This window comes from Homo sapiens, chromosome 15 (genome assembly GCF_000001405.40).
Source record: "Homo sapiens chromosome 15, GRCh38.p14 Primary Assembly".
In the NCBI taxonomy this organism is placed as follows: domain Eukaryota; kingdom Metazoa; phylum Chordata; class Mammalia; order Primates; family Hominidae; genus Homo; species Homo sapiens.
Genome location: NC_000015.10, coordinates 99,266,694 through 99,279,142, shown reverse-complemented (window position 1 = coordinate 99,279,142; position 12,449 = coordinate 99,266,694). Strand labels below are relative to the sequence as shown.

Genomic DNA, 12,449 nt, shown 5'->3' with positions numbered 1-12,449 from the left:
TCCACTAATATAAAACATCCAGAAAAACGTGTATCCATAGAGACGGAAAGTACATTAGTGATTACCAGGGATTGTGGGAAAGTGTATACTCTCTCTTGCTCTTTGGCTTGCTTGCTCTGATGGAAGACAGTTGCTATGTTGTGAACTATCCTACAGAAAGGCCAAATGGCAAGGAAATGAGGGAAGTGCTCTAGCCAACATCAAGCAAGAAATGGAGTCCTTCAGTTCAACAGCCTACAAGGAATTGAACCTGACAACAACCACGTGAATAGAGGAAGATCCTTCTTCAGTTAAATCTTCAGATGAGACTGCAGTCCTGGCCAACAACCTTGACTGCAGCTTCGTAAGAGACCTGGAGGCAAAGGCACCCAGCTAAGTCAGGCACAGATTCTGGGGCCTCAGAAAATACAAGACACTGAATGTTTATTCTTTTAAATCACTACATTTGGGGGTAAGTTGTTAAGCAGCAATAGATAATTAAAAAGGTGAATATTTGCTTAACACAATAGACTACAGACACTTTAACTGTAAAGCCAGCATCTTTCTTAATGGGGAAACCCTAGAGGCATTCCCAGCAAGATCAGAAAGAAGACAAGGGACCAGGTGCAGTGGCTCACGCCTGTAATCCCAGCACTTTGGGAGGCCAAGGCAGGTGGATCACAAGGTCAGGAGTTTGAAGCCAGCCTGGCCAAGATGGTGAAACCCCGTCTCTACTAAAAATACAAAAATTAGCCAGGCGTGGTGGCGGATGCCTGTAATCCCAGCTACTAGGAGGCTGAGGCAGGAGAATTGCTTGAACCTGGGAGGCAGAGGTTGCAGTGAGCCAAGATTGTGCCACTGCACTCCAGCCTGGGTGACAAGAGTGAAATTCGGTCTTAAAAAATTTTTTTTTAAAAAAGAAAGAAGACAAGGATGTCCACTCTCTCCAGGACACTTTCACATTGTCTAGAGGAACGAGCCAATGCAATAAGACTAAAGAAAGTAATTAAAGGGATAACAGCTGGAAAAGAATAAGTAACACTATCTGTATTTTCCAACATAAGAGTATACCTGGAAAACTCTATAGAGAATCTATCATGAAAACTAATTGAAACAATAAAGATTTCAGCAAGATACCAGGATATAAAGTTAACACGCAAAAATCAATATTGTTCATATATACAAAATACAACCAGTTAGAAGATATAACATGACAAAATTCATTTACGATAGTAAAAAAAGATTAAATACTTAGTAACAGACTTTAGAAATCTTCAAAACCTATTTTAAAGAAAACTATAAAGTACCTAAAGGATGCAAAAGTAGACTAAAAAGATGGAAAGACATCTTTGTTCCTAGAAATACATACTTATTTAGAGACAAAGAAAAAGCCATGATGTGCATAACTCACAAAAGCTTCAGAAAATAATAAATACACATATACATACATACAAAAGGATGAAAGCAAAAACTTGATAAAGCAAGTTTTGGGGTCAAACACCACAAAAAATGTTTAAATCAATCTAATCAAGAGCAAATAATACAGTAAATTCAGACATCTACTTTTAAAATACATTATTTTTGAAAACTTGCATAATTTAAACATGAACTGTGTATTAAATTATATTGAATATTACTTTCCTTAGGTGTGATAATGACATTATGTCTGTAATTTACCTTCAAATCATTCAGCTTGGGGGAGGGGGCAGAGGGGTAGGAGACAGGTAGAAAAGGGAAAGAGAAAGCAAATGTTGCAAAATGTCAAAATTGGTTAAATTTAGGTGAAGGGTTTACGGGTGTTCTTTCTATGTTTTCAACTTTCTTATTAGTTTGAAATTTTTTTCAAAATGAAAGGATGGGACAAAGGAAATGACAGAAAAGATGGGAGTATAAGGCTAGCTTTCCTTCCTTGACCTCTTGAAAATCGTGCCAAATAACAAAGAGTACAAGAAATAGCAATGCAAACCCTCCTGCAAAAATTAAGAGGTAGCTAAGGAGAGAGAGAAATATAAGATATCTAAATTTGTCTTCCTTAGTGGTAAGTTAACAGATAATTAACACTGGTGCATTAAAAAAACAAAGGTGTAAACATAGTATTTAGCATTTGAAGGTAATCATAAAAAGAACTAAAACAAATGAAGCGTGGAGGATGCAGGAAAAGAGACTTTTACTGTACATTTTAAACATTTTATACGACCTGTTTATATCAAGTATCACATGTAGTAGTAGTAATAACAATAATAGATTTTCCCAATTACATGGACTATCCAGAAAGATTCTGTGACAGAAGACACTATACCCAGAGAAAAGGCATTTCTCATCATCTTCACTACCTTGAAGTGAAATATTTAAAATACAATTTTAAATGGTTAAATACTTTGAAATACTATTGGGTTTAGTAGAACCACAGGTCTACCTACATGAGTACCATGATCATGATACCAAAAAATAACAAATTAATACATTAAGATGACATATCCTATTATTTCAAACAACTTAGAATTATTTTCATTCTTGTCTTTAAAAAATTTGAATAAACAGACTCACAGTTCCACAAGGTTTGGAAGCTTCTGAGCAAGGTTTTCTGGCTGAAAATTAAAAACTCAGAATTAAATTTTATTTTTGAAAAATGTCTAAACATTTCTAATTTGTTTAAATACAAAGTACTACCTTTTTGAGGGGTGTAAATTTTGAGAAAATGTGAAAATAATTAATCAGCAGGTCTGGGTTTTATTCTTACAGAGACCATACTACAATTTAAATTTATAAATTCAAACATTAAAAAACAATGTCCCTTAGAGCAGCGGTCCCCAACATTTTTGCCTCCAGGGACTGGTTTCATGGAAGACAAATTTTCCACAGACAAGGTTGTGGGGGTGGTTTGGGGATGATTCAAGCGCATTACATTTATTTTGCACTTTATTTCTATTATTATTACATTGTAATACATAATGAAATAATTATACAACTCACCATAATGAAGAATCAGTGGGAACCCTGAGCTTGTTTTCCTGCAACTAGATGGTCCCATCTGGGGGTGACGGGAGACTGTGACAGATCGTCAGGCACTAGATTCTCATAACAAGTGCACAAACTAGATCACTCACATGTGCAGTTCACAATAGGGTTTGTGCTATGAGAATCTAATGCTGCTGCTGATGGGACAGGAGGTGGCATTCAAGCGGTAATGCAAGCCACAGGGAGTGGCTATAAATACAGATGAAGCTTCGCTTGCTTGCCTGCCACTCACCTCCTGCTGTGCGGCCCCGTTCCTAACAGGTACCAGGTCTGTGGCCCAGGGATTGGGGACCCCTGCCTTAGAGAAACCACAAACCTCATAATCCATGGTCATGGAAGAAATAAAAATGTGCTTCACAGACACAGAGAGAGGGAAGAACCAGAAACTGGAGTGATGTAACTGGAAGCTGAGGAACACCGAAGGTTGCCGGCCACTCCCAGCAAGGAGAAACTCAAGGAGCATGTGCTCCCTCAGAGCCCTGAGAAGGAACCAATCCAAATCACACCTTGATTGTGGACTCCCTGCCTCAAGAACTGTCAGAGAATACATTTTTGTTGTTTTAAGTTACCCAGTTTTTGATAATTTGTCACGGCAGCCCTGAAAAACTAATATATCCTCCAAATTCCCAAATCATGCTCCTCGAGAGAAAGTAAGGGAAATCTGCAGGGCCCCCAGGTACAAGACCTGACTAAGCTCCAAATGAACAGGGGAAGCTGGAGCTCATGTGGTCCAAGGGAGTGTCAGACCTGGCCACAGGTCCAGACATCAGAGTAGAGGGCCAGGAAATTGGCCATTGGCAGGAGAAAGAAAGGCAGACAAACCTAGGTCCTTTACCCAGAAGAAGTCAGAGCCCTGAAAGGGCTGGCCTTTCCATGAAAAGAATCCTAGAACAAAAGTCTACTCACAGGTTGAAAGCAGGCTTCTCTCTGCTGGAGGTACTGGGTAGTGGAGAAAGCCTCCTGTAAATAACTGAAAGCCAGTCTGCATACGCACACACACAAGTATATAGGCATATATATACATATAATATCTCTCTCTCTTTCTCTCACACACACATAGGGGGTTCAAATTTACACATACGAAAAGAAAGAGTCGAAAGGCTGAAGGAGCACACTGAGTCAAAACTAATTTTTTTTTCATTTACATTCAAGCTACTATAGGGTAAACTGTGTATCAATAATAATGAATCAGGAATGGCTTTTTAGAAGACATTAGGTCTGACCCGAGTTCCAAAAGACATAAATTATAAGAGGATGACATGGAATGGAGAGGAGAGTAGTTCTGTATAGCTTTCTAAGCACAAGAAGCAACATATGAAAAGCCAAAAGAGAACAAGTACAATTGGGAAACTGCAAATACAATCCATTCTGCTATAACTACATAACAGCACTCCCGAAGAAATCTTACATTTTCAAAAATCCTGTTAGAAAAACAATCATGTCAATAGAAAAACTAACGTGTTAGGTACTAGAAAGTTGACTATTTTAAATAACCAAGAAATTTTTCATAAACTTGAATTTTTAAAAATAAGCATGTGTCTTTTATAATTGAAAAAATTAAAATTGAATTTTAAGATCTGCTGTGTGCAGCATAAGCTGTTATACAATTGATTAATCAGTTATATACAATTTGAGATCTAAACACTCACTAAGACAAATGACATTAGTTTGGTATGTCTGGGCCATTAGGTATGAAGATGTGAGATTTTACAGAGAATGGCAAGGAACAGAACACTAAAGGCTTATATTTTATACTAAGGACTAGCTTTTAAAAAATCCTGAACACAATGGAAAATCACTGGTTTATTTTAAACCAGAAAATGTCATTATTAATGTCATACTGGCATACTGATGTATTTAAATACTTAGCAACAGTATCACAAACTGCTTATATATACATATCCTTCCCTTTTGTGATAACCAAGTATCATTGAATATGAATATTGTTATGAAGTCAAGGAAGCATTTTTGAATACTCACTCTTGACAGTACCATTTGTATTTCATTTTCAAATGCTGAAAGCTGTGATTCTTTTTGCCCCATATTTCTATACTGATATATGCAACAAGATCCATCATAACTAGTCATTTCTCAGATGTTCCTTGTGGATCCGTCTAAATCCCTGGAATGTTTTGTTTTTATTATCAGTATCTCCCTTGAGAATATACGCTTCCGTTTATGGGCATACATACAAAGCATCCTAGAAAAACTAGGGAACCAGTGGGTGGAGGGCCTTAATTATAGCTGTTCCTATAAAAAGGAAAGATTTGTCCAAAAAGAAATGCTGTTTGACTGTTAGACCTTCACCTAGTTTCATCTGCTAATACCAATACTATATCTGGCTAATTCACACACTCCACGGTCATTCTTTCTGGATGTCTACTTGGCTCCATCAAATAGCATTCTAATCTTTCCATGACAAACTAGTTAGTTCTTTTGAGGTGTAGCTCTACACACAATTAAGCACTGAAATAATGCTTCTGTTGCCAATAGAGCATCTCTATGTCTTTATTAACAAGTAGATACATTGTGTTTTTATTTAAAAATAAGCACATTCACTTTGAGAAAATTGCAGTTCATTAGAATAACGCCTTAAAACACACAGACACGGCCGGGCACGGTGGCTCACGCCTGTAATCTCAGCACTTTGGGAGGCCGAGGCGGGCAGATCACGAGGTCAGCAGATCAAGACCATCCTGTCTAACACGGTGAAACCCTGTCTCTACTAAAAAATACAAAAAATTAGCCGGGCGTGGTGGTGAGTGCCTGTAGTCCCAGCTACTCAGGAGGCTGAGGCAGGAAAATGGCCTGAACCCGGGAGGCAGAGCTTGCAGTGAGCCAAGATCGCGCCACTGCACTCCAGCCTGGGTGACAGAGTGAGACTCCATCTCAAAAAACAAAAACAAACAAAAAAAAACACACCACACACTTAGGAATAGATGCCCAAAACTCCTGGCAAGTAATCAGCCCTTGCACAGGCTGTGACTGACACCTACTGGTGTTCCATAATATCACTCTCTGTTTTCTAATGCCATATTTTTAGCAATGTAGCTGAGAAATGTTATACGTTTTAATTTTTACACTTCTATAATTTAGGTACAGCATATAAGAGACTAGACAACTAGAAATTAATGTCAGAATTTTTGTTACTTTGTGGGTAACTAAGCTCTAATGTTGGATTACAGAAGCCACACAAACTAGTGTATCCTAATCCATAGGATTTACAAGCTATGAAGTTTTTTAATGTTTTTAAATTTAAAATCCTGATAAAAGCAATAGTCTTAAAGTGCTTCTCAAATCTATTATTACCTTCTTTTTTCACAATTTGAAACAGAAAAGTTTATCAGATAAACATAACATGTACTCAGATACCTCCTACTAAATTACCTAGAAATTGTTTCTCTAAATCAAGCCAAGGATTCTCTTCATTAAATCTCATTTACATTATTATCTAGCTAAACAACTTTTCTTTACAATAATGAAAAAGTAAACTTCAGCAAGCACAGTTAGTATAAAACTTACCCCAAATTCTGAATCAATGATGCTTTACCATATTCTTTTAGACTCCACTTAAATGGGAATGTTTTAAAATTTTTTAACTTGGAACAAATACGTCAAATATTTTGCAAACACCACCATGTTCAATAGTATTTTCTGGTGGGCACTGTGCATTACCTACTTTCTTTCCTTCTCTTTCCGAACACCTGCTAGGACTGCACATCTTTCATCAAGCTGGCCATGGCTAAGTGACTAGCTTGGTCAGTGAAATTAAGCCAAAGAGGAAGCCTTGACAAGATTGAGTGCAAAAGACCTCACCCCTTCCACAGTGACCACCAGACGGTGGACGTTTTGTCAGCTTCATTCCTGGGCAGAGGCTCCAGGCTCTGAGAGACTAGTACAGTGTAGACAAGAAATATGTGTGCTGTTACAAGCCACTAGGACTCAGGGTTTGGCAAAACCTGCTCCATCCTGGCTTCTAACAACACATTTCAAAGAAGTCACAGATTAAATGCATTTGGGTTGTTATACAAGCTATAAAAAGCAGAAGAAAGCAGAATGAATTTGGACCACTATCTCATACCATATACAAAAATTAACTCAAAATGGATCAACAACTTAAATTTAAGAGCTAAAACCACACTTCATAGAAGAAAACATAGGAGTAAATCTCCATAATCTTAGATTTGGCAATGAATTCATAGCTATTACATCAAAAGCATGAGCAGCAACAGAAAAATAGATACACTGGCCAGGTGCAGTGGCTCAAGCCTGTAATCTCAACATTTTGGGAGGCCAAAGTGGGTGGATCATTTGAAGTCAAGAGTTCGAGACCAGCCCGACCAACATGGTCAAACCTCATCTCTACTAAAAATACAAAAAAATTAGCCGGGCGTGGTGGCATGCGCCTATAGTACCAGCTACTCTGGAGGCTGAGGCAAGAGAATCCCTTGAACCCAGGAGGGGGAGGTTGCAGTGAGCTGAGATCACGCCACTGTACTCCAGCTTGGGCAACAGAGTGAGACTCCATCTCTAAATAAATATATAAATAAATAAATAAAAGAAAAATAGGGCTGGATGCGGTGGCTCACGCCTGTAATTCCAGCACTTTGAGAGGCTGAGGCAAGTGGATCATGAGGTCAAGGGATGGAGACCATCCTGGCCAACATGGTGAAACCCCATGTCTACTAAAAATATAAACATTAGCTGGGCATGGTGGCACACACCTGTAGTCCTAGCTATTTGGGAGGCTGAGGCAGGAGAATCGCTTGAACCCAGGAGGCAGAGGTTGCAGTGAGCCAAGATGGTGCCACTGCACTCCAGCCTGGCAATAGAATGAGACTCATCTCAAAAAAAAAAAAATAGATACACTGGATGTCATCAAAATGTAAAAACTTGTGTGTATTACAGGCCACTACAAGAAAATAAAAAACACAACCTACAGAATGGGAGAAAATACTTACAAATCATATATCTGGCAAAGGTCTAGCATCCAGACTATAAAAAGAACCCTTACAATTCAACCACAAAACAACAACTCAATTAAAAAATGGGCAAAGGATCTGAACAGACATTTCTCCCAAGAAGATATGCAAATGACCAACAAGCACATGTAGAGATGCTCAACATCATTAGCATTAGGGAAATGCAAATCAAAACTACAATAAGGTGACACTTCATACCCACTATGACAGCTGTAACACTAACAAAAAAAGAAAAGTAACAAGTGTTGGCAAGAATGTGGAGAAACTGGAACCATTGTGCACTGCTGGCGGTAATGTAAAATGGCTCAGCCACTTTTTGGTGGCTCCTCAAAAGTTAAGCATAAAATTACCGTATGACCCTGTAATTCCGCTCTTATTTATATACCCAAAAGAACTGAAAACAGGTCCTTCAACATGTCCATTCATGTTCATAGCAGCACTATTCACAATAGCTAAAAAGTGGAAATAGCCCAAATGTCCATCAGTAGATGAATGGGTAAACAAATGGTGGTATAGCCATACAATGGAATCCCTACGGAATCACACACAAAAAAAGAAGTACTGATATATGCTAAAACTTGGATAAACCTTGGAAACATTTTGCTAAGTGAAAGAAGCCAGATACACAAAGTTTCATATTTTGTGATCCCATTTATATAAAATATCTAGAGTTAACCCAGAGAGAAAACAGATTGCTGGTTACCAGGGCTGGGTGTGGGAGCTGAGGGTGGGGGCGGGGCAATGGGGAGGAACTGCTTAATGGGTGAGGGGTTTTACTCTGGAGTGAACGAAATGTTTGGAACTAGACAGAGGTGGCTGCATCCACGGTGAATGTACTGAATCCTATTGTCATTTCAATAGGATTAATTTTATGTTATGTCAGTTTCACCCCAATAAATTCGTTTTCGTTTTTAAAAAGCTAATGAAGTCTTGGCACTGAAGGAATAAAAAGTACTTCATTCACAAACTACCACAACACACTTAACAAGCTTTTTAGTTGAATCAATAAGTTGATGTCATTGCTTCTGAGCAGGTACACGACATGAGTTAAATACCACGTGTCCAGATTTTTTAAAACTGTGGTAGACCTCTTTTCAACTTGTCCATTCCTTCTCCAGTATTTCCCTCCATTTTTATATATGTCATAGAGCAATATTTATCAACAGAGGAATCAGAAACCCTAGCAGGCTAATGGTACAGAATGAAGGAACCAGCATTCTTTCTTCTTCCCCAGTAGCATAAATGCCTTCAGGGTCCTAGTTACCATTACCTTTGTCTCTTGACTCACTTCATAATAATTACTCATTTTCCTTTGTTTCTCTCTCTGCCATGATGGAAACATTATCTGTGTTGTCCAATATGGCAGACACTAGCCACATGTGGCTATGAAGCACTTAAAATGTGGCTATGTGATGGAGGAACTGAATTTTTAATATTATTTTACTTTAATTTAAATGTTAAGGCCAGGCATGGTAGCTCACACCTGTAATCCTAACACTTTGGGAGGCTGAGGGAGGTGGATTACCTGAGGTCAGGAATTCAAGACCAGCCCGGCCAACATGGTGAAACCCGTCTCTACTAAAAACACAAAAATTAGCTGGGCGTGATGGCGGGTGCCTGTAATCCCAGCTACTCGGGAGGATGAGGCAGGAGAATCACTTGAACCTGAGAGGCAGAGGTTGCAGTAAGCTGAGTTCGTGCCACTGCACTCCAGCCTGGGTGAAAACTCTGTCTCCAAAAAAAAAAAAAGTTAACAGCACATGTGGCTGGTAAAGTGTGCAGAATTCATACCTTCATATTCACTACTGATTTTTCACTTAAACTCAGCTCTTTCAAATGTAAAACATGAAGAATAACTACTTAACTGTAAGAATGATAAATGTTTTAGATTATTTTTCTTAGAAATAAATGAAAGTATTTGCTTAGCATTTGTAGAAATTAAAATTGTCATCTTAAGAAATGTAAATGAAAATATTTTAAGTATCTTCAAATCTACAAATGTTTTCTGGCAAAAAATGTAAAACAAACATCAAGACTGATATTTTTAACTTAGCAAAAACTTACAGAATGAGCTCAAAATAAAAAAAACTATACATCCAGTACATTTACAAAAATACAATGTTTCTGAATTTGATAGAAATTTGATTGCCAAGAAAAGATTTTTCAAAAGAAAAAACAGGCATTAAAAATTGCTGAAATGCCTCTTGAAGTGTTTATCTTAATATTTGTTAAAACTTTAAGTTATGTAAATGTCGGAAACAAGGGTTGGAGGTTACAAGCATCAAGTGTCTTCTCCAGCTTTTTATTTTTAAAAAAACCTATTTAATAAACATGCCATAAGTATGATTTTATAAATGCAATTTTCAAAGCAATATAAAAATACACACAAAAATAGAATACCAAACACATTCCCATTAAGCCAGATCAATGATTTAAGATTACACCTAGCTTGAACAATTCTGTAAGTTTATGACATAACTGTTTGGTTTTGCGGGGGTGGGGTGGGGAGCATGTTCCAAGATCCGTGTACAAGTGCCTTACTTACATAACGTATGTATTTGTTGACTGATTCGATGGGACTAACAGTTAGGCACTGGTGTCTCACTTCCAGTACACAGGTGCCTCATTAAAGTGAATGCCTGAAAAATGAATTTAAACTTGTGGAAACATACATACACCAATGGTTTTGAGTCTTTTGCTTGCAAATAACACCCTTCGAGTACACAAGATAATGGTCTGTTCTAAGAAAAGACCCCTAGCCCTGCCACCTCTTTCTAAACTGTCCCCCTCCTAACTCCCTAGGCAGAAACTACAAATTACAGGGTATATGCTAAGTCAGGTTCCCTACATTTCATTTAAAAAGCAAAGAATGATACATGTTTAAAAATATTTCTATTAAGCTAGACTTTTATTCACAGGAAAACTCAGACACAGACTTTACAAAAATTAACTGGGAAAATTCACTTAACATGCAGCACTTCATTTCTCCACAGTCGATAAACGTGGTTAAATTTTAACGACATGGTGGTGCTAGGCTAGGAAGAGGTTATCAATAAATATCTACAGAATTAAAATGAAGCAAAACTAACTGGACCACAAATTAGGAGACCTTATTTTTGCACTGAAAAGTGACTTTAGAACCAGCCATTATCCTCTTCTTAGTTTCCTCAAAAAGAAAAATTGTCTAAATTATAAATAAAGCTTCTAGCTTTAAAATCCTATGACTCCATAAATAGAGTTAAGTTATGGAACAGACGTTCATTTTCCTGAAAAATGAAAGTCATTATGACATGTGAGAGGCTTGAGTTTCTTAATTATTTGACAAGGAATCACCGTTTCACATTACTGACAAGGAATCAGTAACAATGACAGAAAAGCTTCTAAATCTGAAAATTCAACAGGAAAAGAAGCTGTTGTAACAAAACTTAATTTTCAGGCACATGTGTATTATGAAGACAGGATAAATGTGCAATGGCTGTTTTCCAGAACTGTACCACATTTACTTACAAACACTAAAACACTAACGGACCATTAGAATGCTTTACTATTTGATATACTCACATATTTCCACATAGTCAATTTAAGAAACAGAGATGCTTTTATACAGAGCTAGCTCAAGAACAGTGCAATCATGGCGATTATGGAGGCCCTGCACCCTAGCAGCAGTTCAAGCTGCAAGGATCCAACAGACTGGAGAAAAACAAGAAGTCCTTGCTCTGGAATTCAAAATGAACCAAACTAATAACAAAACTTAATTCCCGCTCCCGGTTTCTCCTACCGCACTTGGCTGTATGATGCTCTTTTAGGCCATCTCCTTAACTTACTGTTTTTCCCCTCAGGGTGTTCTGATCCTTATTTGATCCAGATCCTACTACTACCAAATTCAAGGAGGGGGTGGCGGATATAGTTGTGTGACTTTCCTAGCCATCAACCTCTCTCACCCTCACCTAACCACCGGCTAAGAGAGTCATCTATGTCAATATGGCATAAACATATGCATCGCTGTAAATCAAAATATTTAGACTAGCTGATTAGAAAGCTTGATAAAAACTTAGTGGCACTATATTCTAACCATCTTATTTTAACTGACTCCAAATTATAAAAATAAATATTTACTGAAAGTAATATAAACCAAACTTACTAGTAGAGTTTTCCCTTGTCCTATAAACACTTAAGTAAGGCTGTTTCTTTCAGCCTCCACCCCTACCCTCATACTCTCCATCCATCTCCAACTTTAATCATTATTCAGTTTGATGTACATTTTATGACTTAGTTTATTTGTCTATAAAATAAGGATCATAATAGTGCCTACATCACAGGATTGTCCTGAGGATTAAATAATACATGTCATTTGCGTAAAACTGTTTGAGCACTTGGTAAAGACTCAAACAGTGCTAGCTGCTATCATATTTTAACAAATCCATTATTGATGAATATCGAGGTTTTAACAATTTTTCATCATATTCAATT

The 12,449-nt window shown here is 37.5% G+C and overlaps 1 protein-coding gene across 24 annotated transcripts in view; it reads right to left on the bottom strand.

Annotated features, from left to right (window-relative positions):
• Nucleotides 1–12,449, bottom strand: part of LRRC28 (leucine rich repeat containing 28) — a 139,249-nt gene that overhangs the window by 111,587 nt on the left and 15,213 nt on the right. For 18 of the 24 annotated variants that reach the window (NR_135757.2, NR_135753.2, NR_135754.2 and 15 more), the window contains one exon: nt 2,527–2,567. The exons of the other annotated variants lie outside the window; for them this stretch is intronic. Coding sequence is in view for 14 of the 18 variants with exons in the window: in NM_001321675.2 (NP_001308604.1) it covers nt 2,527–2,567 (41 nt within the window). In the remaining 4 variants the exon portion in view is untranslated. Of the gene's footprint in view, nt 1–2,526; nt 2,568–12,449 lie in introns of those variants that run through there. 24 annotated transcript variants of the gene reach the window in all.